Genomic DNA, 26,699 nt, shown 5'->3' with positions numbered 1-26,699 from the left:
ATGTGCATTTTACATTTTATGACATCTGCCAAACTGCCCTCTAAAAAGGGCACTCCAATTTATGCTTCTGTGAACAGGGTATGAGAAGACCTTTGCCAACATCAATATTTTGCTAGTCAAATGGGTGGGAAAATAGTATCTTGTTATGCTTTTAATTGGCATTTCCCAGATAATAAGGTTGAACATCTTTTCCTATGTTTATTGGCCATTTGTGCTGCTGCTTCTATGAGCTTAGCAAATGTTGCCTCCTCTGACTTTACAACCCTGCAGTCTCAACAGACTGTGCTTCCTGTCTGCCCTGAGGAGAGCAGGCCATGAATGTCCAGAAGGTCCCCCATGCTGTGTCATATTCCATTTAATAAGCAGTCACTCAGCACCTACTAAGTAAAGGGGCCTTGTGCTAGGGGCTATGGGAAGGAGGAGATAATAAGGTGTGATCTCCTGGGCTTTAGTCTAGTTCAGGAGAAATGGAAGTGCAAAGTAGACCAGTAAAGGCTCAAAACAAATTATTAGCCAACTGTATGGGAAGCAGTTTTAGAGCATTTGGACTGGAAGACATTCCTCACTTATTTGCCCTACCTGACCTTTTGCAGCGTGGCCTCAAAAATAACATCACCCTTGAAGGAGATGATGATGTTTGGAGTAGGCACAGCAAGTATACTTTACCCAAGGCTGAACAAGTTCTAGAGGCTCCCATGACAGCCTGTAAGCAGTAGTGACTTCGAGGGCTGGCCTTTACCATAGGCTACTAAAGTTGCCACAGAGGGACTCCCCATTGTCCTTTAAGTAGATGGGTTGGTTGCGCACCAGAGTCTTCACTTCTGGGGCACAGAGAGAACAGCTCTTAGAACAACCCCTACTTTTTAGTGGTGAGAAAAAAAGAGGCAGGGTGGGGTAGGTGACTAGTTGCTGGCCCAGGGCCAACTCCTGGCCACAGCAAAGCCTGAACCAGGGAAAGGGTGTTGAACTTCACTGAGCACCTACTTTACATCAGGCACTATGCCAGGAGCATTAGCTTTCACCACAATCCTAAAACATATTATCTGCATTTAATGTCTTTTTTTTTTTTTTGAGATGGAGTCTTACTCTGTCACCCAGTCTGAAGTGCAGTGGCATGATCTCAGCTCACTGCAACCTCTGCCTCTTGGGTTCAAGCGATTCTCCTGCCCCAGCCTCCCAAGTAGCTAGGATTACAGGCACCTGCCACCACACCCGGCTAATTTTTTGTATTTTTAGGAGAGATGGGGTTTCACCATGTTGGCCAGGCTGGTCTTGAACTCCTGACCTCAGGTGATCCACCTGCCTCAGCCTCCAAAGTGCTGGGATTACAGGCATGAGCCACCGCGCCCGGCCAGAAGTATTTTTTTAACCTGTATTTTGCTATTAGAAAATTAAGATTTATCTAGGTAAGTAGGTTGCGGCCACATGGGTATCCTGATGGAGTGGCCCAATGGGCAAAACTAGACTCCAAATCTCGTGTTGCTTCTGTTGTGTACCCAAATGACTAACCTACACTCCCAGTTTTCCTGGTTTCCTGGCTTGGAAATTGTCATGAAATTGAAGAATGCATTTAGAAGAGAGGGAGAGAGCTGGCCCGGCTTTCCAGCCTGCCGCATGCTCTTCCCGCCCCCGGCCTGCAGTTGTTGGGGCTGCTCCCCATGCCTCTTTGCCAGGAGGCTCAGGTCCCTTTCAGCCTCCCCGACCACCCCTCCCTGCTCTACTCATGTGGTCCTGAACCCTTGCCCTTGAATTGCTGTTTTTTCATGACCATGTGGATGATGTTGTGAAACTGGATTAAGAAAATGTTGGAATGAGATTTGGGAGGCCTGGTTTCTCGTCTCAGCTTCTGCCCCTCCTTAGCTATGGATGTGAGGAGGTCTTTCTGCTTTCGGCATTTTAGTTTCCTGGTTTATAATGCGACAGAAATAGATGAGATGACCCCAGAGATTCTAAAATTCCATCACGGCAGGTTGGGGGGTGAGACTGGAATCATGATCTGCACTCTCTTTATTACCTAGATTACCTTGTACATAAATTCTAAATTAAATATTTGAGTGAATTCTCAGACCTCGCATATACGTCTCTTCTAAAGGCACATACGTGAAGCATCCTTATAAAAACTCTTTTTGGCCGGGGGTGGTGGCTCACGCCTGTAATCCCAGCACTTTGGGAGGCGAAGGCAGGCGTATCATGAGGTCAGCAGATCGAGACCATCCTGGCTAACATGGTGAAACCCCCTCTCTACTAAAAATACAAAAAATTAGCCGGGCGTGGTGGCAGGCACCTCCCAGCTACTCGGGAGGCTGAGGCAGGAGAATGGCGTGAACCCGGGAGGCGGAGCTTGCAGTGAGCCGAGATCGCACCACTGCACTCCAGCCTGGGCGACAGAGCCAGACTCTGTCTCACAAAAAAAAACAAAACAAAAAACTCTTTTTAAAAAAAAAACCTTTGGCCCAGCACAGTGGCTCACGCCTGTAATCCCAACACTGTGGGAGGCCAAGGCGGGTGGATCTCTTGAGGCCAGGAATTCGAGACCAGTCTGGCTAACATGGTGAAACGCCGTCTCTACTGAAAATACAAAAATTAGCTGGGCGTGGTGGCACATGCCTGTAATCCCAGCTACTTGGAAGGCTGAGGCACAAGAATCGTTTGAGCCAGGGTGGTGGAGGTTGCAGTGAGTCAAGATTGCGCCACTGCACTCCAGCCTGGGCGACAGAGCGAGACCTTGTCTCAAAAAAAAAAAAAAAAAAAAAAAAACCAAAGGGTTGTCCAGCCTTTACTGAGCAGATACTGTGTGCTCAGTCTTTAAGATACCACCTTGTGTGTCTGGGTGTCTACTATGTTCCAACATTTTCTAGACACTAAGGAAGCAAATTTAAAGGCAAGTCAGAATTCTACCCTCCCCTGTGAGAGGTTGGTAGGTAAATGAATGAATTGTGCTGTAGCCAGGGCAGGGTTGTTTTAGAAATACTAAGGGAAGGACTGTGCAAGCAACTCCCTAGCCCTGCCTAAGGGCCTCAGGGAAGGCGGTGCCTAGGGAGAGGCAGTGTACCGCCATTGACCTGAACAGGACTGCTTGGCAGGGACAGTGGGGGAAGGGCATGGAGTGGGGTCCTAAGGGAGGTGGTCAAAGAAATCCTCTAGGAGTTTGGAGTCTAGAGTGCCTCAAAGTTTTTCCCATAGCACTGTCTATGGGGCTGACAAAGCAGAAAATATAATAGCCAATGTTCTCTCTGCTTTAAAAACCAGACTGCTTGTCAGGGAGGCCGTGGGATGTTCACATATGGGGTGGTCTGCCAGAGCCCTCTGCCGCTTTATTAAGAGGCCAGTACACTCGTTAAAGGAGTTAATGGACCTCAGTACTTACTACTGATTGCTTAGTAATTCAGTACTTGGTAAATAAACATGATACTATGCTAGTGGCGGGGTAGGGGGAGACCAATTGGATATAGTCCCTGTCCCAGAGGCACACATTGTCAAGTGGAGGAGGCAGGAATGTTTCCAACAAGCCTCAGTGGCAGTCAGAGCGTGGGGCTTGCTCTGTGCTCCTGTGTAAAGAGCCCAACATGAAGCATAAAGGAGCATGAGAGCAGCTTCTGGAGGACTCCAGGAAAGCTTCCTGGAGGAGGCAGGCATCCTTTGAGAATTTCAGTAAGTGCAAAAGAGGCTGGGTGCAGTGTAATCCCAGCACTTTGGGAGACCAAAGTGGGAGGATTGCTTGAGCCCAGGAGTTCAAGAGCAGCCTGGGCAACATGGCCAGACCCACTCTCTACAAAAAAAATATTTAATTAGCTGGGCATGGTGTTGTGCACCAATGGTCCCAGCTACTCAGGAGGCTGAGGTCGAGGCTGCAGTGAGCCATGATCATGCCACTGGACTCCAGCCTGGGTGACAGAGTGAGATACTATCTCAATAAATTATAAACAAACAAATAAAAAAGTGTTAAAGAGGAGGAAGGCATTTCAGGAAAAGGAACTACTGAGGGCAAAGAGAAGGAGGCATGACTTCTGGGTTGTTTAGGGAGTAGTAAGAGATCTGGTAACTAGGGTGCAGGGGTTAGGGAGGATGGGCAAGAAGAGACAGAACTAGAAAGCAAGATGGTCACATCCTCAGTGGTCTTCCTGCCATAGTGAGAAATTTAGGCTTCGTTGTCCAGTGGAGAGCAGGGGTGGAAGAGAATTGGACACATAGTTTAGGAAGATAACCTGGCAGGACAATAAGTATTCCCCAGAGAGAGGAAGTTTAGAAGCAGGACCAGGTAGGAGAACATTACATTTGGCCTTGACTGAGGGTTGAGGTAATGAGAGGCAAACTTGAAGGAATTGCTAGAACTGGTCCTGGTTGGAGGGGAGGGAAAAATTTGTCTGGTATTGGGAGCTGGGCTGGGGATAGGGTTCATTATCTGAGGTAGAGAATCTTGGAGGAAGAGCAGGTTTGAGGCAGGATGATACAGTGAACTTTTCATTTTCTTATGTATTCTGATGAGCAGAAGTTTTTAATAAAGTCCAACTTACCCATTTTTTTCCTTTATTGGTTAGTGTTTGTGTGTGTTATCTCTAAGAATTCTCTGTCTACCGCAAGGTCTTTAAGATATTTTCTCTTAGGAGGGGGTGGATTTTTGAGCTAGGGTTTGGATAAGCTGCTTTTGAGAAGCCAGCAGATTGGTGTCAATGGGGACAGGTTTTTTTTTTTTTTTTTTTTGAGACGGAGTCTTGCTCTCTCGCCAGGCTGGAGTGCAGTGGCACAATCTCAGCTCACTGCAACCCTTGACTCCCTGGTTCAAGTGATTCTCCTGCCTCAGCCTCCCGAGTAGGTGGGGTTACAGGCATGTGCTGCCATGCCCAGCTAATTTTTGTATTTTTAGTAGAGACGGGGTGGGGTTTCACCATGTTGGCCAGGATGGTCTTGATCTCCTGATCTCATGATCTGCCCACCTTGGCCTCCCAAAGTGCTGGGATTACAGGTGTGAGCCACTGCGCCCGACCCCAGGGGACAGGTTTAGTCAGATTCCAGGGTGGTCCTCATGGAGGGGACGCACAGGCAGGAGGGCAGGGAGAGAAAGCACAGAAAGCAGACCTGCTAGGAGAGGACCAGGATAGGGAGGGGCAGGGACAAGGACATGGGACTTCTGGGAGCAGGTGGCCGGGGGTCAACGTCCAGGAGGATTTCCTGAACCAGTTAGAGGACTACTGAACCCCCCTTTCACCTATCTATGCAGCCCTTTACTTTTACAATATATACATTTCTATTTATTTTATTTATTTATGGTTTTTTTTTTTTTTTGAGACGGAGTCTCACTCTGTCACCCAGGCTGGAGTGCAGAGGTGTGATCTCGGCTCACTTCAACCTCCGCCTCCTGGGTTCAAGCAATCCTCCCACCTCAGCCTCCCAAGTAGCTGGGATTATAGGTGTCCGCCCCCACCTCTGGCTTTTTTTTTTTTTTTTTTTTTTGAGACAGAGTCTCACTCTGTCACCCAGGCTGGAGTGCAGTGGCATGGTCTTGGCTCACTGCAACCTCTGCCTCCCGGGTTCAAGTGATTCTCCTGCCTCAGCCTCCTGAGTAGCTGGGACTATAGGCACACGCCACCATGCCTGGCTAATTTTTGTAATTTTAGTGGAGACGGGGTTTCACCATGTTGGCCAGGCTAGTCTCAAACTCCTGAGCTCAGATGATCCACCCACCTCAGCCTCCCAAAGTGCTGGGATTACAGGCATGAGCCACCACACTTGGCCACCTCTGGCTAATTTTTGTATTTTTAGTAGAGATGGGTTTTCACCATGTTGGCCAGGCTGGTCTCGAACTCCTGACCTCAAGTGATCTGCCCACCTCGGCCTCCCAAAGTGCTGGAATTACAGGCGTGAGCCATCATGCCGGGCCTACGTTAATTTTTGAGACAGAGTCTTGCTCTGTCGCCCAGGCTGGAGTGCAGTGGCATGCTCTGATCGTAGCTCACTGCAGCCTTGGACTCTTGGGCTCAAGTGATCCTCCCACCTCAGCTTCCCAAGTAGCTGGAATTACAGGCACGTGCCACCATGCCCTCTGTGGAGCCCTTTCTGACTTCCATCAACTCCCTGCGACCACCCCGCATCCTTCACCTCTCAGTCCGCACTCCCTCCCAGGCCAACTGCATGGTGAGTGTGTGTGTGTGCTCCCAGGCCAACTGCATGGTGAGTGTGTGTGTGTGCAAGTGTGCGTGTGAATGTTACCATTTTTCTGACTTGCCATTCTTCAGTAGCAACTCTACAGATGCGACAGCTCTTCCCCGTTCCTCTTTAGTCCATGAATGGTGGGCAGTATAAATATTATTTTCACTTGCAACTCAGATGGATTGAACAAAAACAGGAATAACAGCTCAGCCTCCTGTATATTTGACGCTAGATGCTGTTGGAAAGGCAGCTTTGTGGGGCAAAAAAAAACAAAAATTGAGTGAGCTTGCTTATATATACCAAAGATGCTCTTAGACTTCAATGTTTCTCAAAGGGTGAGATTGTGTGTTACCTCACCAGAACCACCTGGGCAGTGCATTAAAAAGGCACACTCCTGGAGCAGAAGCTCTGGGACAGTACTTGTAGGTTTGATTTTCTAGCCAGCCCCCAGATGATTCTGGGGCTTACTACAGCTTGAAAACCACCAAGCCTCAGATGATTAGAGGTAAACCAAATCTGGCACAGATGAGATTCCCACACAGATGTATTGGTAGATGCATTTATTGTATCGCCTGCATTGGCGGCGGGGGTCTCTCTACACATTTTGTTTAAACCTGGGCCAGGTTAATCACGTTGGGAATTTAGTGATGTACCCAGCAAGGGTGGTTTCCCAAGCTCTCCGGGTAATTGATAGGGCTTGGGTTGCCAGTCTGATTGTGGTAACAAGCAAAGGAAGAAGTAGGGACTGTAAGGCGGGCAGACCTAGGGAACAGTTTCCAAACAGGGTTGGGGGGGAAAGACCGGAAAGGACTTGGTACAGGAATTTAAATGTTTCCTTTCGGATGGAGATGGCAGGGGTCCTGCTGTTTTCAGCAATAGTTACCGCAGTGCCTGTCTGCTGGGCTCCTCTGGAGTCTTCTCTTTGGACCCTGAAACTTGAGAGGGTCTGCATGCCTGAATCTGAATGCGGCTCCTTTAGGCCCCTCCCTTTGACCCCTGGAGCCTGGAGAAGGGGTGGGGGAAGGGTGGGGAAAACAGGCCTGGCTGTTAAGGTTTACCAGGTTCCTTTTGGCCACACCCCCCTTAGTATAAACTTAACACTTCTCTCCAGGGTCCAGTTTCTAAAGCAAAGTGACAGCATCGACACGTCCCTAAAGCAAACTTGTCATGAAGTCCCTCACCTCTCAAATGTGAGTCCCTCCTGGCTTCCTTTGATTTTATCTGTAATATTTAGCAGATACGTGTGATTCTATTAGGCTAGTTAGGAAACCAAGGCCCAAAGAAGCTAGGGGTTATTTAAGGTCTTGTCATCAGCTGTAAAACACCCTGCTCAGCGCCCTGCTCAGTGAAAGACCTGGCATCCCCTCCCAGTTGAATTTCCTGGTAAGGGGCACCTGAGATCCGGTATCAGTGGGGTACTGCTACTCTCCCACCCCTGCCCTGGCATCTCTGCTCCCTGGCCCCAGACTCCGTCACTGGTAGAGCTGGGCAGACCCAGCAGTTCCAGGATAGCGGGTGGAAGTGAGCAGGAAGGAAGAGCTGGGTTTGTGGAGAAGCCTTCCCCTTATGGGGCAGGCTATAGGGAAAGGGAAGGCAGCCACCAAAGCTCCAGAGCCTGATGGCGCATCTATTGGGCTGGGACTTCCCAGCATACACCATTAGGGAAGTGTAGGGTTGGCTGGGAGAGAACGAGGGAGCCAGGGGCTCTGGGATAGAGGTGGGGAGAGAAGGGGAGGTGAGGGTATCAGCAAGAGGGAAGTTGGGCTTTCCTTTCCAGCAGTTGGGCTCCCCCATCCTGCATCTTCCTCCTTGATTTAGAAGAATTCATCTAGAGTGTCAGTGCAAAAAGCCCCTTACCACTCCCCCTCCCTAACAGATACCCTAAGGCTGTGCTTGTGCTTTTCATTCCTGCCATTCATCTGCCAGGAAGCTCATGCAGTTACAGATGCCCCCTAGATCTGGCCATTCCTGTCTGAAAAACCTGGGAGGTTGTGCCCATTCCTAGTTTCCGCTCTTTCATCTTCCCTTGAGCCTTCCTGCCTTGACTGATCCCAGCTGCCTCTGAGTTCCTTCGGCACATGTAGAAAGCATCCCTACCACATAATTTACCATCTAATTGCATGCTGTCTTGAATGAGGGCTGTGGTTTCATGTGTGGTGGGTCTTGGGTACACAATTAGGCTGTGAGTAACAGAGGCCTAGAGCCCCATCATGTCTACTAGCTCTTGCACCTCTTTGCTTCCCTTCCCCCCAGCCTACCTACTGCAGGTGCTAAGGACTGACTGACCTGATCCGGTGTTTAGGTGAGCTTCAGGCAGGCTCCCAGGATAAAGCACAATTCGCTTACAGGTTCTAAAACCAGACTGCTCAGTGCAGGGGTTAGGGGGGTGCCCCTGCCCGACAGCATTTGCCCAAATGCCGCTCCTCTCCCCAGACTCAGGGAGGAGGTTCTGGGGCAGGGCCGAGGTTTGGGGTGATGGCATAGAGCCCAACCAGGCAGCACACTGCAGTTGCCATGGTGACCCTTTTGCTTTTCTTCAGGAGGATGGATTTCTCTTTTAGCCCAAATCATCTGCCTGGGCTACTCTGAGAACCAGATTCCTAGCCCCCTACCTTCCACATTCTACCACAGGGGGCAGCTTGTCAGAGGCTTTGGTTTGAAATCACAGTCCAGCATCAGACAGCAACAGGTTGTGCTTGATCAGGGAGCAGGTGGGAAAGGCCCAGAGGAGGGCTCACCTGGGACGCATGCCCCGAGGGAGCTGACCTCCATCTCCTTCTGCTTCCCCTCCTCTCTCCAGACCACTTCTCTCCAGTGAATTGCTCTGACCTTTCAGGTGGGCTCGGGCCTCTCTAGGCCTCAGTGTTCTCATTTGTAACAGACACAGCCAGGGTCTCCGTGTTTCCACACCTGGCTAGTATTAGAATTACCCAGGGAGGTTTTAATAGATTCCTGGGCCCCACCTTAAGCCCGCTGATCTACGTAGGTAGACCCCAAGAATCTGTATTTTTAAAGCCCTCCTTGGGTGATCCAGATGCAATTAAACCAAAGTGAATCTGGGGTTCTCCTGGCGAGGTGATTAGCAAGGCCCTCGTGAAAAGAAAGGAAGTTCTGCCTGTGCTAAGGATTGACTGGCCTCTCCGGGCTTCCAGGAGCTTCTGGAGAGCCCCTTACAGCCTAGTCTTGTCAGGAAGCGGGTGTTTCCTGGTCATGCCGGCTAAGCCAAGACCAGACCCCCACTTCTCTCCCTCCAGAGAAGCCAGGAGAGAGAGAATGACAGGAAGGGGGGATGTTGCCATAACAACAAGCTCCAAGCAGAGGCCTCCCTTCCAGGGGCTGGTACTTCACCCCAGTCCTGGTGGTTTCCATGGAGATGGGTTACTGAGGGACAGGGGGAATGTCTGCCCCACTTAGAGCATCAGCCAGGAGCTGCCAGAAGGCAGAACACCGCTAGGTGCGAGCCTTTGGACCCCTCTGCTCTCCGGGTGCACATCTGACACCTTCCCCCTGCTTAGTTGCTCTCTCTGCGACTGGTCTCCTTAGCAACAAGTCCTGCTAACTCCACGCTGTTGGCTTCATGGCTATTTTTAGCTTCACTGCCAGCAGCCCAGTCCTGGTCATTTGCTTGCAACCTCCATATGGATTGCAAGGGAATAGGAAAACAAAGATTCCCAGCCTCTTTTGGTAGACTGGGACCTCGTAGCAACGATTAGAATTCCTGCTATGAAATGGATCCATTCCCCAACTTGGAACTTGGGCAGTGGATTTGGGATAAGGTTCCTGAGACAACACTGCATTCAGTTCATTTTTAATCCTCTACTATGGGCAAGATGCTCTAGCCCACACTGCTTCCATACGAAGGTGAATGAGGTCCAGTCCCTGCCCTCTAGGAATATTTAATCTTGTAAAGGAGAAAGATGAGTACACAATCACCTTCGCACAAGGCAAAGACTGGCAGGTCCTAACAGAGGCTTACAAAGTACAAGGGGAGTGTGGCAGGGATGGGGTAGAAGATAAGGGACAGAAGGGAAAGATAAGGGACAGAAGGGAAAGATAAGGGACAGAAGGGGAGGATAAGGGTGAGGGGCCAGGGCAGCACTGTCAAAAGAACTTTCTGGGATGATGGCAATGTTTTAAAATCAGTGCCATCGAATTCAGTAGCCCCCAGCCACATGTGGCTCTTGGACACTTGGAATGTAGCCAGTGTGACTGAGGAACTAAATTTTAATTTGTATTTAATTCAAATAGACACATGCAGCCAGTAACTGCCATCCTGGACAGTGCAAGGCTAGAGGAACTTTCATGGTGGAGGTCACTGGCGGACTGGTGTAGAAGGATATGCAGGGTTTAGGTGGTGAAAGTTGAAGGGGAGGAACCTTCCAGGAAGAAGGAACAGCATGAGGAATAGCAAGTGGGCGGGCAAAGCGTGGGCTTCATGATATCACACGGAGGCCTCCAGATTCGTGGGGGCCTAGAATGTCACGCAGAGTGTTGACTGATTGGCATTGAGGCTTTTGAGCTGTAGGTGGGAGGAGGACGGGTTCAGAACAGACATCCATCCTGACCTCTCTTTTTGTCTGGATCAGGTCTCCCTGGTCTTGGGGTTGGTGGGAATACGTGTGGGGTGGAAATACGTGTGCAGTGACTTCATATGTGTTGCTTTGCAGATGGCTTTATAGGGACCATGGCTTCTCTGATTCAGAGTAGAGAGACTCGCATGGTAAATGTCCTGGTGGGATGACAGCAACATCATCTACCCTCATCCTGCCGGAACTGGATTTTATGACAGAGCATGCCACAGAGCACTGAACTTTGAGTAAAACGTCAGGCATGAGCTCCGGGCGTTGCTGCTCTTTGGAGAGGTATCATGATGGGCTAGTGTCTCGTCTCAATTCTTTGAGGCTGGAAAGTCACATTAACATACTTATGATCATGACTCTTCAATGACCCAGGAGAATGATGCACCCCAGAATGTTAGATTTACCAATTGATAACAGGACATGTCCTTGCCACACAAATCATAATGCTTGTCCTGCTGTTTTCTGGCAACTTACTGGTATCAGAGTCATTGGAAAATGTAATTAAAATTGGAAGTTTGCTTGATGAATACAGGATCAGGGCAGAGAGGTGTCCTTCAGAGGTATTTTTGTCGGGCTTAGGAGGCCTATGGGATCACTGTTGTCTGCCCACCAAACAGGAACTGTGCTCTCATTCTCAGGTCACTCTCTCCATTGGACCACACTGGATACTTCCTTTCCAGCACCTCTTTTAGGCTCTTGACATCCAGCATATTTTCTTCTCATCCAGGAGTTCCTCCTTTCAACATACTTTTATAACAAATCCAAGAACATGGCTTATTTTACATGGTGCTGCTATTTGAGTTTGGCTATCTTTAACTCAAACAAAAGACCTATCTGGTAAACTACCAGGGAGGTTTACTTTGGAAGCTCAAGAGCATGTGTGACCTGAGGATCCTTGAAGATTGCCCCATTTTAGTAAGGGGATTTTTCCTTTTACTAAAATCACCCCTGCTCTAGATCTTGGGGTCTCTTCTGCTTTGGGGTCTGACTGTGCATTGACCACAAAGAAGACACATCTCTGTTTAAGCGACTCAGTCTAGAAAAGGCAGTGTTTCCTGTCTGCATAGTTACAGGAGAGGGAAGAAAGATGCTCTGGGTTGTTAAGGGGACACCTTTGAGCCTAGGCTTCCTTTTGCTTGTTGGGAAGTTGTGTGGAAGAGGTAGGATTTGACTTTAATGTTAAAGGATGAGAATAAGGAAGTTTGACGGCCGGAGGGAACAGCTACCTAATATGTGGCCAAGAGAAAGTGAACAGTTCTGGCCAGTTCTGACACCTTGAGTCCTTGCTGCACGCACGGCATCATTGCAGTCTTATGTCCCAAGACCACAGAATGTGGAGTCTAAGGTGTTTAGCCGCATTATAATGGAAGAGCGGGTATCGTACATGAGACAGTGTCTGCAAAAGGCCACCAAGCCAGAACCAGAAACTTCTTTTGAGAGGAGGCCTGAAGTAAGTTCTCAGGCCCGTTGACCGGCATGGATGCAGAAGAGGTATCAGTGAGAGAAGCAGCGAAGCAAGTCATGCTGCATTCCCTAAAGGTTGGGAGCAGGCAAGAGGGACAAATTCTGGGCTTCTCACTTCTGCTTGGGGAGCCCCTGGAAATGTGTACCAGGCAAATACCTTAGTTGGGTTGAAAGATGGGTTGGAACAGAAGAGGGCCTGTGTTTTTGTTTGTTTGCTTGTTTTTCGAATAGCTTCTTTTCCTAGCTGTATGGATTCTGGGTCTCAGGGTTGGGGGGGAGTCTGTACCCAAGTCTTCTAGGTAGAAGGCTCTCTGGTTTGGGGTCCTTGCTCTTCAGGGTTTGCTTGCTCTGATGGCCCTCAGGGGGAGGGGGGGCTCCCTCACTGCACATCTCGTGACTTCATTATACCAGCACCTGTATGTCCCAGGTGACTGTGGCTGGGAGCCAGGCACCTAGAGAATTGTCTCATTGTCATTAGGAGATGGTGGCGTTCCATGGCCAAAGAGGGCTGATGTCATCACTCGTTTTGCAGATGAGACAACAGATTTCTTGGGGGTTAAGTGACTTGTTTAAGGTCATGGTGGTGGAAACAGAACTGAAGTCCAGATCTTTTTTTTTTTTTTTTTTGAGACGGAGTCTCGCTCTGTTGCCCAGGCTGGAGTGCAGTGGCATGATCTCGGCTCACTGCAACATCCGCCTCCTAAGTTGAAGCGATTCTCTTGCCTCAGCCTCCCAAGTAGCTGGGATTACTGGCGCACGCCACCACGCCTGGCTAATTTTTGTATTTTTAGTAGAGACAAGGTTTCACCATGTTAGTCAGGCCGGTCTCAAACTCCTGACCTCATGATCCGCCTGCCTCAGCCTTCCAAAGTGCTGGGATTATAGGCGTGAGCCACCGCGCTCGGCCAAGTCCAGATCTTCTAACAAGTGCCGCTGCCCAAATAGCCCTCTGCTGTGGGGTGCATTTTCCTCCATTTCCTCAGTTCTTCCTTCTAATTCATCTTGCCAACGGCAACTAGGCTGATTTTTCCAAAATACTCATTCATCTTGTCAGAAAACCTGCGGTTATTCTTCCCTGCTACAGAATATACCCAAGGACGCACCTGAAGGCTTGCCATTACCTTGCCCTGTCGTGTACTGGGAGGGTGGAGGTGGGCGAGGGTCTCCTCCCTCCCCAGCCCGGCAGCTCTTGCTCATCCTACCCATCTCACCTCATTCCAAGTCCGATCCAGCCTCCAGGCCCAGTCGGCTCACCTGGAACTGACCTCTGACCTCTTTTGTCATCCATGCCGCCCATTTTTTTCTACTTGGTATTTGTGGCATAGTTACCTTTACATATGTTTGTTTTACAGTGATCCTTTCATATTTCTCCAAGTCTAGTGGAATCTTCAACCCCTCGAGGGCAGAGCCAACAGGGTCTATTTCTTTATCTGATCCTACAGCCAACGTAATGGAGGGCTGTGGGTGGGGACTGCGTCTGCCTTGGGGGTAGGTGCCTTTGTTCAGGAGGAGGAAGCTTGAAATGGCGGAGGCTGCACCTGGAGGCCGCACCTGGAGGCCCCAGGAGAGGAGTCAGGTCTTCTCGATCTGCAGATGTTTGAGCCTGGGAATGAAGGAATTGCTGAACTTTCTGAAGGAGCGCCCTCGCCGCGACCAACCTTGCAAACAGGAAAATGAGAAATCCAGGGAAGGCCCAGAGTGACGCAGGGGCCCTGGGACTCGAAGCCTGACCTCCTCACGCCGCGCTTTTTGAGGCCCCCCCGCTTCTCTATTCACCTGTAGTGTGGAGGCGGGAGACCCCCCAAACAATCCCCGATCTGGAGCGCTCCCAATGCCTGCGCGCGCCTGCTGTCACTCTCCGTCTGTGTGCTGAGTTTTCCTACAGCTTCCTGGGCCTCCTATCTGTAAGCTTTTTCTTTTTTTTTTTTTGGTTGTGCTTCAGAGAAACTCACTTTTCACAACTTTCTCCCGGCTCTCCCAGGCCGTCCGAAAGCTCCGGCTTGCTTTCGCCCGGACCCCCGGCTCCCTCCGGGCAGGCGGCTCGGGAGCAGCCCCTTCCCTCCCCTCCCGGCCCCCCGGCCCCGCGCTAATCTCTTCCAGAGCTGGGGGAGGGGCCAGGCGGTCTTCCCGAAGGCGGGGCGCTCCCTGCAGCCCGGCCTGGGCGGGCCCTGGGAACGGGCGGGGAACGGCCTCGCCCCCCGGCCCCGCGCCCCTCGGACCGGAGAAGAGGGGCTGGCCCAGCGCCAGCGTCGGAGCGCCGGCCCCCTCCCCGGGCCGCTCGCAGCCAACCAGGCCCTCCAGCGGGGCCCACGTGACCTGGAGTCCTAGACAAAGAAAATGTTCCCTCCCTCCCCCCCGCCGCCCCCCTCCCCTCCCAGTGGCCCCCTCCGCCCCCAGCCCCATCGCCCCCTTCCCCTCCCCCAAGACGGGCAGCTACTTCCAGAGCTTCAGGGCCGCGGCTCACACCTGAGCGCGACTGCAGAGGGGCTGCACCTGGCCTTATGGGTAGGTTCCTGGACGGAGCCCCGGGGAGACCGGGGGCGGGGAGGCGGCAGGGCCGGTGGGAGGATCTCCGCAGCCCTCCGGGTTTGAAAAGAGTGAAGTATGCCTCCCCGGCCCGCAGCAGCCGCGGCGTCCCGGCCTGGCCCGAGTTCTGGAGATGCTGACTTAGTGCTGGCCCGCCGCCTTCCTGCCCACGAGCCCCAAGGCCCCACTCCTCGAGGGCTCCAGTGGCACCTGGCGCCCTCGGGGGACAGGAAGAGCAGCCGGCCGGGAGCCCGGGCAGTGGTAACTGCAGGCTGGGGCACGCGGAGCTGGTGGCCCAGGAGTTGGGTTGGAGGCAGCTTCAGCTGAGCTGGCAGATGGGTGCCTGGCACTTCCCTGGTGACCTGCGTTTCTGGCTGGGGGACCACGCGGTCCTCAGGGCCCTGCCAGCTTGCGGCCTCTTAAGAGGGACAGCTTCCTCTCCTGCGAGTTCCTGGAAGCCTCCAGGCAGGCCGCCAGAAAGAAGTGGTGGGGGGCGGGAGAGCACGGTGCGACCCTGACAGGGGGCCGGCCTGTGACACCAGGGTAGCCCAAGGCCGCATGGGCTTGGGGGCGGTGGCGCTCAGACCTCTGACCTTTGGAATGGGAAGCGCTGCAGTCGCAGGGGGAGGTGGAGGCGGGACAACTGCCTGAGGAGATGGGACTGGACCGGAGGCAGTAGTCACCGGAGTTCCCGGTGGCTTTCCCAGTCTGGACGGACTCCAGGCCCAGGGGCTTCCGTGAGCCAGCAGGGAGTGGGGAATAGTGTGGTGTCTCTTGAATGCCGCCTGGTTTCTCCGCCCCCCTGGGGGTGAGCAGCCCGCAGCCCAAATGCGAGAGCCTCGAGTTCACCCCTGTTTCTCTTATTGTTTGCCTGGGGAGGAAGGCAGGAGTGCAGAGGGAAAGGGGTGCTTTCCCTACGCCCCAGACAGGCCTAGTCTAGTGAGGCCCCTCCCCCACCCAGCTCCGGCTGCCCCTTCCCCTTTCGTCAGGCCCCCTGCTGCTCACCCACCCCCCCCCCCGCTTCTTCCTTCCCCCACCCCACTGCCCCAGTCCTGATGGAGGCCCCTTCCTCCTCCGCCAGCCCTTACCGGGCCGGGTGCGTGTTCTGCACCAAGTGGGCTGGGGATGCTGAACAGCTCGCAGCGCGGCATCTGACAAGCTGGGGGAAGTTGTGGGGGAAGAAGAATGTTCAGGAACTCGCTGTGAAGGGGCTGAGAGACAAAGGGGCCGTGGGGGAGTGCTGAGGGTGGTGTCAGGCACGACTCCTAGACCTGGGGAGCCAGAGGAGGAGCCCAGCCCACCTGCTGCTGCCGCTGCCAGGAACTGATAGCGGGTCCTTTCCCCTTCCCGCCCACTGCTACCTGCACACCTCGTACTGGCTCAGGGGCCTCGCCACGCCTGGAAACGGGGTCTTTGGATCATCCGAGGCATCACCCTAGGTCAGCCACCCATGCCTGAAGCTTGAGAAGGCGTGGTGGGCGAGGAGCAGCGGCGTGGTGTGGGCTCCTCTGCGAGGGTAGCTGACGCAGCTGAGGATCCCAGCAAGGGAGGCACCCTCCCCCATAGCGGGGTCCACACTTCAGTGCACCTTCTCGTAGGGGAGGAGGCGATGGCTAATTGATAGTAGGAAGGGGAGGGCAGAGTTCTGGCCAGGTGAGAGTGGGGCTAGGGAGCGATGAGCAATTACTCCACATTCTTCCACCCCCGCAGTCCGATCCGTGAGCTCATTCCGCCATCCATGAGCTCATTTTCCCAGCTGTTTGGGGGTTGGGGGCAAAGGATGCATTATCCTGTTTTAGAATTTGTTGAGTCAGAGGAAGAACTAGGACTTAACATCTTCAGTGTTTTTCGGAATCGCCATAAGAAACAGATTGGTCTGTGGCTTGGAGGCAAAGACTTGAAGACTCAGTGAAATTAAATGAATCTGTAAGACAATACATTGGACCACTGAGCTTCAAACAAAGGTTCTTAACCTGGGACCCTTGGATCTGGGGGGTCCATTGACAGGCTTTGGGAGAGTCCTGGGAATCATTGGTCCATATATACACCAGATTTTTAAACAGGTCAGAAAAGCTTTCCAGAAATCCTTCCGTTCAGGTGCCTTTTTATGTTGGAGCAACTCCTAGAAAGGACTGCTCCAAAGTCAGCTGCTGGTTGTGAGGCTCCGACAGGAATGTAGAGGCTGCAACTTCAGATTAGAGCTCTTCTTCATACTCCAGGTTGCTTGCTCATCCTCTTTACCCTTGAGGATGGGTTTGCATTCGCAGCTCTAGGCCCATGGGGGAGCTCTTTTGAAAGGCATGTAGAAAATGGGGTTTTCTCCCCTCTAAATCTGGTATGGTGGAAATGGGTGCAAAGCCTTGAAGTCAGAGGGCCGTGTTTCCTAGATTCAGTAAAAGGCTAATGGTTCTCAGAGCTAAGTATCAAGGATTTCATTCTCCTTTGTAGGGATCCTGGAGCGGGTTGTGAGAAGGAATGGGCGCGTGGATCGTAGCCTGAAAGACGAGTGTGATACGGTGAAAGGATGGAGGCTGTGCAATGGGAGAATAACTGGGGTTTGGCTTATTAATTTGTTGGTGGGATGGCAGAGAGCACGCCTGGTCTATAGTGCCTGCTCAGTAAATAACTGAATGAATACATGTATTTATGGATCTGAAGGGTGCACATAGAAGGGGTCGAATCTGGTAACAATACACACTGGGTGTGATCCATAAGAACTCCAGCATGGCGTCTGAGCATGGGAACAGACAGGCTCTTGGGGAGCTTCCTATGGTGTTTGAGCATGTGCTGGGGGGAGATGGGCTCTTTAAACCCAGAGCAGTGATTTCTTCGTCAGCAGACATCACAAAACTAGAATTGTGGCCTGGAAACCAGGAATAGGAAGGATTGATTGCCCAGGGGAATTGTGGAGAAGAAGAGAGGGTCCCCCTTGCTTTTTAAATTTTTGGTGACAGGGTCTTGCTATGTTGCCCAGGCTGGTCTTGAACTCCTGGGCTCAAGTGATCCTCCCTGCTCAGTAACTGGGATTACAGGCACATGCCTGGCTGAAGATCCTAGTCTTGATTAAGAAGATAGGAGAGGGTGGAACCAATATCTGTGTCTAAACAATAGTGCCTGATTAATATTTGGATAGAATTAACATCTCCATAGGTAGGGGGAGGGATAGCATTAGGAGATATACGGTATAATGCTAAATGACAAGTTAATGGGTGCAGCACACCAACATGGCACATGAATACATATGTAACAAACCTGCACGTTGTGCACATGTACCCTAAAACTTAAAGTATAATAATAATAAAATTAAAAAAAAAACATTAACGTAGGCTAGACACAGTGGCTCATGCCTGTAATCCCAGCACTTTGGGAGGCTGAGGCGGGCAAATCACCTGAGGTCAGGAGTTAGAGACCAGCCTGGTCAATATGGCGAAACCCCATCTCTACTAAAAATACAAAAATTAGCCAGGTGTGGTGGTACATGCCTGTAATCCCAGCTACTCGGGAGGCTGAGACAGGCGAATCGCTTGAACCTGGGAGGTGGAGGTTGCAGTGAGCCGAGATTGCGCCACTGCACTCCAGCCTGGGTGAAAGAGTGACTCTGTCTCCAAAAAAAAAAATAAATAAATAACATTTCCGTATCATAGGGTAGGCAACCGATATGCTGATGAGATTGAGGAAGATTAGATCTGGGAGGAAGGTTTCCTAAAAGGCAGAAAAGAAGGCTGGAATTGTGTGACTTGAGTTCACCTCTCTACTTCAAGTCTTTCCATTTTTCACGGCAAGGCAGCTGGTTGGCTCTCTCCAGCCCTTGACCTTCTGTCACTGTTCCGGGTTTTGACAAACATGGTCCCCTTGAGTGTCAGGTGGCCTTGCTAATTCCTGGAGAGGTCAAGGTGACTTTTTGTTTTTTGTTTCCCCAGGCTGAGAAGAAAGCCAAGGTCATTGCAGGAATGAATGCTGTGGAAGAAAACCAGGGGCCCGGGGAGTCTCAGAAGGTGGAGGAGGCCAGCCCTCCTGCTGTGCAGCAGCCCACTGACCCCGCATCCCCCACTGTGGCTACCACGCCTGAGCCCGTGGGGTCCGATGCTGGGGACAAGAATGCCACCAAAGCAGGCGATGACGAGCCAGAGTACGAGGTGAGCGGCTTCTTCACCAGCCGTGGCCAGCTCTTTCCGGGGGCCTTCCACTGCCAGCTCCTCCCGTCCTGCTCTCCTCTCTCCATCTCCCACGGGCCGCTCGCTCTCTCCACCTGACCCCGGGCCTCTTCGTCTCCCCGATTTTGCTCTGTCTTGCCTCATTCAGATGGAGCTCCCTCCTGGCTGTCCTGCCCCCCAGATGCCCAGGGCTGGGGTTGCCATGGGGGGATCAGGGTGGCAGGGCCTCGTGACCACTGTGTAATGATTTCTGCTCCTTGGGGCTCCAGGACGGCCGGGGCTTTGGCATTGGGGAGCTGGTGTGGGGGAAACTGCGGGGCTTCTCCTGGTGGCCAGGCCGCATTGTGTCTTGGTGGATGACGGGCCGGAGCCGAGCAGCTGAAGGCACCCGCTGGGTCATGTGGTTCGGAGACGGCAAATTCTCAGTGGTAAGTTGTGGGGTTTGGCAGTAGCCTGGGGTGGGGGAAGGTTCTTGATCCCAGGGCCTGTGGTTTTGGCTGGGGGCAGTCTGGAATTGGGGTGATGGAAGTGGGTTCTGCTCACCCCTACTCTGCCTGTGGTGGGTGGAAGAAGCTGTAGGGATAATTAGGTTGCACCTGTGGCTCAGAGAGCTAGGATGCTGGCCCAGTTTTAGCCTTCCAGGAACCTATTCACTAGAATTCCTTTCCACCTGCACTCAGGTACTTCCCTACTCTTGGTCTGGACTCCTCTTTGCATCGGGTAATTATTTATCACTGTATCTGGTCCCCTCCAGGGCTGAGACTGACTCTCGAGGCTCCCAGCCCCTGCCAGTTGCAAGGCATGGGGTGGGTGCTTGCAAGTGTAAGCCTCGGCAAACAAGGCCTGGCTTGTCCCCCCAGGTGTGTGTTGAGAAGCTGATGCCGCTGAGCTCGTTTTGCAGTGCGTTCCACCAGGCCACGTACAACAAGCAGCCCATGTACCGCAAAGCCATCTACGAGGTCCTGCAGGTGAGTGTCCCTGCTGGGAGCTCGGAGGAGGAGCCTAGAGCACTAGGAGGCCTGGAAGTTGGAGTGCAGGTCGGGCTTGAGCAGAACGGAGGCCCAGGAGGCAGCGACTCCTTTCTCTCCACCTCGCTCGCCCGTATGCACATCCCGCTCCTCCTCAGCGGTTCCTCCCCATCTTGCCTGTGCCACCCTCACTACTCAGAGTCTGGCCTTGAGCCTGACCCATCTGCCTTCCAGCCTGTCCTGACAACCCCAACCCTGGCGTGTCACCCTCCAGGTGGCCAGCAGCCGCGCGGGGAAGCTGTTCCCGGTGTGCCACGACAGCGATGAGAGTGACACTGCCAAGGCCGTGGAGGTGCAGAACAAGCCCATGATTGAATGGGCCCTGGGGGGCTTCCAGCCTTCTGGCCCTAAGGGCCTGGAGCCACCAGAAGGTAAATGAGGGCACCCAGCTTTCTGGGACCCCTGCCCGCCAGGCAGATCCACACCAGGGCTGGGAAAGCCATGCTTAGGGAGGGCTGCCAAGGCCTCCACAGAGGGGCCCAGTGGGAACAGCCGGGGTCTCTCTTGCCCTGGGGTCAGGACTTGAATGACCTGCTCTCTGTTGGTTGGCTAGAACCGTAGAGTTGGGAGGTGGGAACAAGTTGGAGACCAGGCCGCACCCCACTGTAAGGAGGGTGGGGGAAGGGGCTGGAGTTTCCTGTCAGCCTGTAACTGACCTTGGCACCTGCTTTCCTCCTCCAGAAGAGAAGAATCCCTACAAAGAAGTGTACACGGACATGTGGGTGGAACCTGAGGCAGCTGCCTACGCACCACCTCCACCAGCCAAAAAGCCCCGGAAGAGCACAGCGGAGAAGCCCAAGGTCAAGGAGATTATTGATGAGCGCACAAGAGGTAGTTGGCCTGCTTCTGGAGAGGGTGGCACCAGGAGGCCTGCATCCGAGGAGCAGGCGCGGCCTCCTCTGACGCCAGCTCTCCTCCCCTTGCAGAGCGGCTGGTGTACGAGGTGCGGCAGAAGTGCCGGAACATTGAGGGTAAGTTTGTTGCCTGGGAACTCTGGCACTCCTAGTGTGGCATGGGGCAGAGTAGCAGAGGCACTTAGGAAGGTTTGAATGACATGGGACCAGGGGCCACGTCCTGCGTGTCACACCACCTTCACCGTGCTTCGTGCACTGTCTGTCTTTCTGGTGCCATGATTCTGCTCTCCTGTCAATGGCGTGGGCTGGTCTTCAGGGTGTGGGACTCCCCAGTGGCCACAGAAGGGCAGCCCCTCTTGGGTGTGACTGAACTCACCTACAGGTCCCCTTTCAGCCTTTCACCTTTGCTCACCTCTCTCATCCTGGGGCTGTCGCCCTCAGCCTGGTGCTGGTGGATCTGGCTCAGGACCCTCGGCCTGGGAGGATTGGGGCAGGGGTCAGGACTTGAGGATTACCCCGGGAATCCCTCCTGAGTAACCTGGAACCAGGGCTGCTTCTCATGAGCAGGTTTCTGTCCTGCTGTCACTCCATCCCTGTTTGTGGATGGTGGCATTGGTGCTCTGAGATGATGGCGTTCGAGACTGGGGTCACAGTGCCTCCCTTTTCCGTGGGGCACCCTGGACTCTTTTCTGGCTGCCGCTCTGGCACACCCCTTTTTTGTGGCTGGTCTGGTGCTGGGCTCCGGCCCGGGGAGGGAGAGGCCCTTCGGTGGTACTCACCCCATCCCCTCCCTCTGCTTTCCAGACATCTGCATCTCCTGTGGGAGCCTCAATGTTACCCTGGAACACCCCCTCTTCGTTGGAGGAATGTGCCAAAACTGCAAGGTAGGAGCACACCCACCCAGGAGAGGTGCCGTTGAGGCCGGCCCTTCGGCCTTCTGGCTGACTGTGTCCACCGCTTCTGGGCATGTACAGGGTGACACCCGGTGTGCGTGTGATGTAGACTTCAGAGCTTCCTCTGGAAGCAGAGTCCTGATGACACGGGCCCTTGGGTTTCAAGCTTTTGACTTGCTCTCATTTTTCTCCTCTGAAAGATTCTTTACCTCTCTCAAGCCCCATTTTAGTCCCCAGATGTGGGGATGGGAGCAGAGCAGCGGGGACAAGCTCAGGCAGAGTGTAGCAGGGTTGCCGTGCCCTGGGGAGCCCAGGAGAAAAACCCAGGGCTGCAGGAAGGCCCAAGGTGGTGGTGCAGCCCCCTCCCTGGCCTTGTTCTCAGGCTGCTCTTTGGTTCTGTCCATGGCGGTGCACAGGCAGATGAGGTTTCCCCTTCCCAGATCTGCAGCTGGGGCCTGACCCTGGCTAAGGTGGTGGCGGGGTCATGTCTTCAGGGCTTAGGCTCTGTGAGGCCAGGTGTGGAGCCTCCCTTCGTCCTGGCCGTCCTGGGACCCGTCCTGGTGGTTTCTGACCCTTCCCGCTGCTGTCTAGAACTGCTTTCTGGAGTGTGCGTACCAGTACGACGACGACGGCTACCAGTCCTACTGCACCATCTGCTGTGGGGGCCGTGAGGTGCTCATGTGCGGAAACAACAACTGCTGCAGGTGAGGCTGTTGTGGCCTCCAGTGGTCTCCTTAGCTGGGCCCCAGGCTCCCGCCGCCCACCGCCTCCCCTCCTCTCCCTTCCCCACAGACCCTCCACCCCCTAGCCATGCTCCAGACCCGGTCTTTCCATTCCAGGTAGCACACCTTGGCCTCCCCGGACCAGGGCTGAGAGTCTCCTCTGCTCACTGGGTCTCCTTCCAGGTGCTTTTGCGTGGAGTGTGTGGACCTCTTGGTGGGGCCGGGGGCTGCCCAGGCAGCCATTAAGGAAGACCCCTGGAACTGCTACATGTGCGGGCACAAGGGTACCTACGGGCTGCTGCGGCGGCGAGAGGACTGGCCCTCCCGGCTCCAGATGTTCTTCGCTAATAACCACGACCAGGAATTTGTGAGTGCTGGGCCTGGGGCGCGGTCTCGAGCTCCCTTGGCTGAGCCTTGGTTGTGGGGCCTGAGCTGTGCGCAGGGTGTGTGGGTCTAGGAGCCTGGCTGGAGGGCCAGCGCTGGGTGGGAGCTTGGGACACCGCTGGGCCTGCATCTGACCTGTTGTGCTCACTGCTTAGGACCCTCCAAAGGTTTACCCACCTGTCCCAGCTGAGAAGAGGAAGCCCATCCGGGTGCTGTCTCTCTTTGATGGAATCGCTACAGGTGAGGGGTGCAGGCCCAAGAGGTGCTGGCCGCCTTGTCCCAGGATGGGGGAGCCAGGTGTGTGGGCAACTCTGGCAAAACGAAATGATGGTTAGCTTCACAGCTGTTAAAATATTATCCCAAAGGGGAAGCTTGTGTGTGAAGTGGAAACGTATGCAGTCCGTGGACTTAGATTTGACCAAAAATAAAAAAGTAAAACAGGTGGTAAAGCAGCCTGCCTGCTGGGCGCTTCCTTAGTAAGGAAGATTCAGCCACAGAGGCCGAGTGATCATTAGTCAGATTCACAGAGATTTCACAGAGCCTCAAAGGACAGATTCAGCAAGACAGAAACATACACAGTTCTGTTGTGTTTTGATTATACACAAGATAGTCTAAAGAAGACTTATTTAAATCACCCATTATCCTTTTATTAATATTTTGGCATATGTCCTTTTCAGATTTTTTTCTGTGCGTTTGTGTTTATATAACCATACATCCATAGATAGATAAATTAAGTGGGTAGTGAATGCACACGGTTTTGTAACTTGCCTTGCATTTATTATATTATGATTGCTTTTTCATGTCAAGCGATATAAAGCTACATTTTTTTTTTTTTTTTTGAGACGGAGTCTGTTGCCCAGGCTGGAGTGCAGTGGTGCCATCTTGGCCCACTGCAACCTCTGCCTCCTGGGTTCAAGCAGTTCTCCTGCCTCAGCCTCCCGAGTAGCTGGGACTGCAGGCACCCACCACCACGCCCAGCTAATTTTTGTGTTTTTAGTAGAGACGGTGTTTCACCGTGTTGGCCAGGCTGGTCTCGATCTCTTGACCTTGTGATCCGCCCACCTCGGCCTCCCAAAGTGCTGGGATTACAGGCATGAGCCACCAGACCCGGCCAAAGCTACATTCTTTATTTGTAAGTGTTGCGTAAGGTTCCATTGAGTCAAAGTGCCGTAATTTATTTAACGAACCCCTATTAGGTCATTTACTATTTTTTTTATTATTATTATAAGTAGTGCTGTGACAAGCATCCTGATAGAATATATACTTGAACCATTCCCTCCTTAGGAAAACCTTTAGGAGATGCTGGGTCACCCTGCAGGCATTGTTTGCTTCATGTGACTCTGGACACTGCAGAAAGCGTCCTAGGAGATTGTGAAGACACATCCACCCCTCTGCCCTGCCCCCCCAGCCAAGGGCTTCCCGGCTTTTAAGAAAGGAATAGCTCTTCTTAGAATTCATGTCTTTGGCCAGAGGGAGATAGGCAGTCTCAACCCAGGGACCCTGGTTAGAGGGTGAGGCGGAGGGGATGGCTTCCCCGGCCAGATGTTTGTCTTCTGTTCTCAGCTCCATGCTGCTCTTCTGTAAACCTAGAGAAGTTCATTTACAGCTTTTTGTATCCCAGACTGGAACCTTGAGGCCTTCTTAAATCATGTCACACCCCAGGAGGCTGTAAAAGCTCCTTGGCTGGGGGACATGTTGGGAGCAGCAGAAACAGTGCCGTACCCTGTTTCTCCCGAGACCCTCTCGGGATCTGCTCTGATTGTTTCCTTGCCTCAGTTCGGCTAGCATTTCTGGAGGGGGAGGGATCGTGGTAAGGAAATCTGTGTGGTTAGCTCGGGGGAAGCACAATGAAGGAGGCCTCCTCTGTCTGGAAGAGCCTTTGCAATCCACGAGAGGGCTGAGTGAGGAATGGAAACTGCTCTGATGGGGAGGCAAGGGATGCACAGAGCTGGGGACTCATAGCGGAGGGGGCGGTGATTCCAGGGGCTACTGGGTGGGGCAGGGCATTTATGAAACCTTTGTGGAGCAGGGAACATTCAGGTTGAGTCAAAGGGTGGGGTAGAATTGTAGCAGGAGGTGATAAGAGGGTATGGAAGGACCAAGTTGTAGACGGACAACAACAAAGAAAAGGCCCCCAAAAAGTCAGCTGTGATTCTTCCTGGATCCTGGAACCATGTACTCTCCGGTCAGTTTTCTGCAGCTTTGACTGCCTTCCAGATAGGCCAAACGAGGCATGAGACAGAGCCTCGATGTCCTTACTATGGATACTCCAGTTGGATCCAGAAAGGATTTAAGGCATCTTCAGGGAAAAGATAGGACTTGGGCCTACAGCTGACCCCATGGGTCCTGTTGGCCAGCAGGCTCACCTGCCGAGACCAGGGTGCCAGGGAGATGGCTCCAAGTAACGGTGCTGTCTGCTGGCTGGTGCAGGGCTCCTGGTGCTGAAGGACTTGGGCATTCAGGTGGACCGCTACATTGCCTCGGAGGTGTGTGAGGACTCCATCACGGTGGGCATGGTGCGGCACCAGGGGAAGATCATGTACGTCGGGGACGTCCGCAGCGTCACACAGAAGCATGTATGTCCATGCTGTGGGGCGCAGCCCGTCTTCCCCTCCCTGCACACTCAGCACCTGGAGGCAGCCCTTGCCTCCTTTCATTTTGTTCATTTGCCCTCTTTCTCTTCACCCTTTGCCCCAGCCTCTTTTTCTCCTTATCTTCCATTTGTCCTCTGTCTTGAGAGGGTAAAGGGCAAATTGAAATGGGAATTTGGGCTAGGCATGGTGGCTCATGCCTATAATGCCAGCACTTTGGGAGGCCAAGGTAGGAGAATCCCTTGAGGCCAGGGGTTTAAGACTAGCTTGGGCAACATAGTGCCTACTTGAGCTCTGGCTACTCCCTGGGCTGGTTTCTGGACAGTTTCTAGTAGAGCTCTTTGGATTAGAGAGAGGTTCCTGTCCTCCCAATACTTTTGGCAAATAGCTTTATCAGCTTCCATATCTGGGAGGCTCAGGCAGGGTCTTCCCTTAAGCATGACTACAGGCCCTCTGGAGTCCTGAAGGGCAACTGGAGGACATTCACATGGCCCAGACACCCTGCCTAAGACACTCAGCATGCCAGGTACCTTCAGACTCAGCCGTCCACTTGGGTCACCTTCCCAGTGGGTGGCTGTGTTGCCTGCCTGGGTGATACTAGTTTCCCCATTGGCCTAAGAAATGATCCAACTTGGTCCCGTTCTTGTTTAGGACTTGTCCATGGTTGCAGCTAGGGTCGTGAGCCTGCAGAGCAGCTGGGTCTCCTCTCTTTCGTGTCAAAGGACTTCTTTGCCAAGTTCACAGATAATTTCTCTTTCTTCCTGTCTGCCTCTGTCCCTGGACAGCAGGCCCATCACGTTGCCTTTATCCTCCCAGATCCAGGAGTGGGGCCCATTCGATCTGGTGATTGGGGGCAGTCCCTGCAATGACCTCTCCATCGTCAACCCTGCTCGCAAGGGCCTCTACGGTAGGTACCATCCTGTCCCCTCCACCTTCTCAGCTGGTGCTTCCGCACATAGGCTTCCTCCTTGGATATTTCTGCCCTGGGACAGCTATTCCCGATGACCCTGTCTTCCCGTGCCCTCCCCGTGCCCGAGCCACACCACTGTCCTATGCAGACAGCCCCAGCTGATGGCTTTCTCTTCCGACCTCTCAGAGGGCACTGGCCGGCTCTTCTTTGAGTTCTACCGCCTCCTGCATGATGCGCGGCCCAAGGAGGGAGATGATCGCCCCTTCTTCTGGCTCTTTGAGAATGTGGTGGCCATGGGCGTTAGTGACAAGAGGGACATCTCGCGATTTCTCGAGGTATAGCCAGCAACCTTGGTTTGGCCAGCTCACTAATGGCTTCTACCTTGGACTGCTGCTTCATCCTGTCTCATCTGCATTGTGGAGCTGGGGACTGGTGACTTCTGCTTT

The 26,699-nt window shown here is 53.0% G+C and overlaps 1 protein-coding gene across 20 annotated transcripts in view, besides 9 other annotated features; it reads left to right on the top strand.

The window, feature by feature from the left end:
- DNMT3A (DNA methyltransferase 3 alpha) overlaps positions 1-26,699 on the top strand; it is a 114,717-nt gene that overhangs the window by 75,701 nt on the left and 12,317 nt on the right. For 10 of the 20 annotated variants that reach the window (NR_135490.2, NM_022552.5, XM_005264175.6 and 7 more), the window contains 13 exons: positions 18,638-18,853; positions 19,141-19,299; positions 19,732-19,839; positions 20,114-20,270; positions 20,581-20,730; positions 20,826-20,870; positions 21,558-21,637; positions 22,238-22,350; positions 22,552-22,735; positions 22,908-22,992; positions 25,183-25,328; positions 26,160-26,250; positions 26,440-26,588. Coding sequence is in view for 19 of the 20 variants with exons in the window: in NM_022552.5 (NP_072046.2) it covers positions 18,638-18,853; positions 19,141-19,299; positions 19,732-19,839; positions 20,114-20,270; positions 20,581-20,730; positions 20,826-20,870; positions 21,558-21,637; positions 22,238-22,350; positions 22,552-22,735; positions 22,908-22,992; positions 25,183-25,328; positions 26,160-26,250; positions 26,440-26,588 (1,683 nt within the window). In the remaining variant the exon portion in view is untranslated. Of the gene's footprint in view, positions 1-7,275; positions 7,338-10,839; positions 11,010-13,691; positions 14,096-14,574; positions 14,697-14,758; positions 14,979-17,165; positions 17,273-18,637; positions 18,854-19,140; positions 19,300-19,731; positions 19,840-20,113; positions 20,271-20,580; positions 20,731-20,825; positions 20,871-21,557; positions 21,638-22,237; positions 22,351-22,551; positions 22,736-22,907; positions 22,993-25,182; positions 25,329-26,159; positions 26,251-26,439; positions 26,589-26,699 lie in introns of those variants that run through there. The other 10 variants (XM_011532666.3, NM_153759.3, XM_047443596.1 and 7 more) reach the window with 10 other exon arrangements.
- Positions 1,722-2,306: an enhancer, noted in NCBI's record as "H3K4me1 hESC enhancer chr2:25487453-25488037 (GRCh37/hg19 assembly coordinates)". NCBI's record gives its function as "activates a minimal SCP1, AML or CMV promoter by ChIP-STARR-seq in naive H9 embryonic stem cells {active_cell/tissue: H9 hESC(naive)}" and the evidence as "EXISTENCE:reporter gene assay evidence [ECO:0000049][PMID:30033119]".
- Positions 2,307-2,890: an enhancer, noted in NCBI's record as "H3K27ac-H3K4me1 hESC enhancer chr2:25486869-25487452 (GRCh37/hg19 assembly coordinates)". NCBI's record gives its function as "activates a minimal SCP1, AML or CMV promoter by ChIP-STARR-seq in naive H9 embryonic stem cells {active_cell/tissue: H9 hESC(naive)}" and the evidence as "EXISTENCE:reporter gene assay evidence [ECO:0000049][PMID:30033119]".
- Positions 6,501-7,204: an enhancer, noted in NCBI's record as "OCT4-NANOG-H3K27ac-H3K4me1 hESC enhancer chr2:25482555-25483258 (GRCh37/hg19 assembly coordinates)". NCBI's record gives its function as "activates a minimal SCP1, AML or CMV promoter by ChIP-STARR-seq in primed H9 embryonic stem cells {active_cell/tissue: H9 hESC(primed)}" and the evidence as "EXISTENCE:reporter gene assay evidence [ECO:0000049][PMID:30033119]".
- Positions 12,951-13,485: an enhancer, noted in NCBI's record as "H3K27ac-H3K4me1 hESC enhancer chr2:25476274-25476808 (GRCh37/hg19 assembly coordinates)". NCBI's record gives its function as "activates a minimal SCP1, AML or CMV promoter by ChIP-STARR-seq in primed H9 embryonic stem cells {active_cell/tissue: H9 hESC(primed)}" and the evidence as "EXISTENCE:reporter gene assay evidence [ECO:0000049][PMID:30033119]".
- Positions 14,292-14,441: a silencer, noted in NCBI's record as "silent region_11250". NCBI's record gives its function as "represses an Ori minimal core promoter by ATAC-STARR-seq in GM12878 lymphoblastoid cells {active_cell/tissue: GM12878}" and the evidence as "EXISTENCE:reporter gene assay evidence [ECO:0000049][PMID:35858748]".
- Positions 14,612-14,831: a silencer, noted in NCBI's record as "silent region_11249". NCBI's record gives its function as "represses an Ori minimal core promoter by ATAC-STARR-seq in GM12878 lymphoblastoid cells {active_cell/tissue: GM12878}" and the evidence as "EXISTENCE:reporter gene assay evidence [ECO:0000049][PMID:35858748]".
- Positions 15,562-15,631: a silencer, noted in NCBI's record as "silent region_11248". NCBI's record gives its function as "represses an Ori minimal core promoter by ATAC-STARR-seq in GM12878 lymphoblastoid cells {active_cell/tissue: GM12878}" and the evidence as "EXISTENCE:reporter gene assay evidence [ECO:0000049][PMID:35858748]".
- Positions 18,287-18,794: an enhancer, noted in NCBI's record as "H3K4me1 hESC enhancer chr2:25470965-25471472 (GRCh37/hg19 assembly coordinates)". NCBI's record gives its function as "activates a minimal SCP1, AML or CMV promoter by ChIP-STARR-seq in primed H9 embryonic stem cells {active_cell/tissue: H9 hESC(primed)}" and the evidence as "EXISTENCE:reporter gene assay evidence [ECO:0000049][PMID:30033119]".
- Positions 19,814-20,323: an enhancer, noted in NCBI's record as "H3K4me1 hESC enhancer chr2:25469436-25469945 (GRCh37/hg19 assembly coordinates)". NCBI's record gives its function as "activates a minimal SCP1, AML or CMV promoter by ChIP-STARR-seq in naive H9 embryonic stem cells {active_cell/tissue: H9 hESC(naive)}" and the evidence as "EXISTENCE:reporter gene assay evidence [ECO:0000049][PMID:30033119]".

Source organism: Homo sapiens, chromosome 2 (assembly GCF_000001405.40).
Source record: "Homo sapiens chromosome 2, GRCh38.p14 Primary Assembly".
NCBI classification, from domain to species: Eukaryota; Metazoa; Chordata; class Mammalia; order Primates; family Hominidae; genus Homo; species Homo sapiens.
This window is presented reverse-complemented; position numbering and strand designations above follow the sequence as displayed.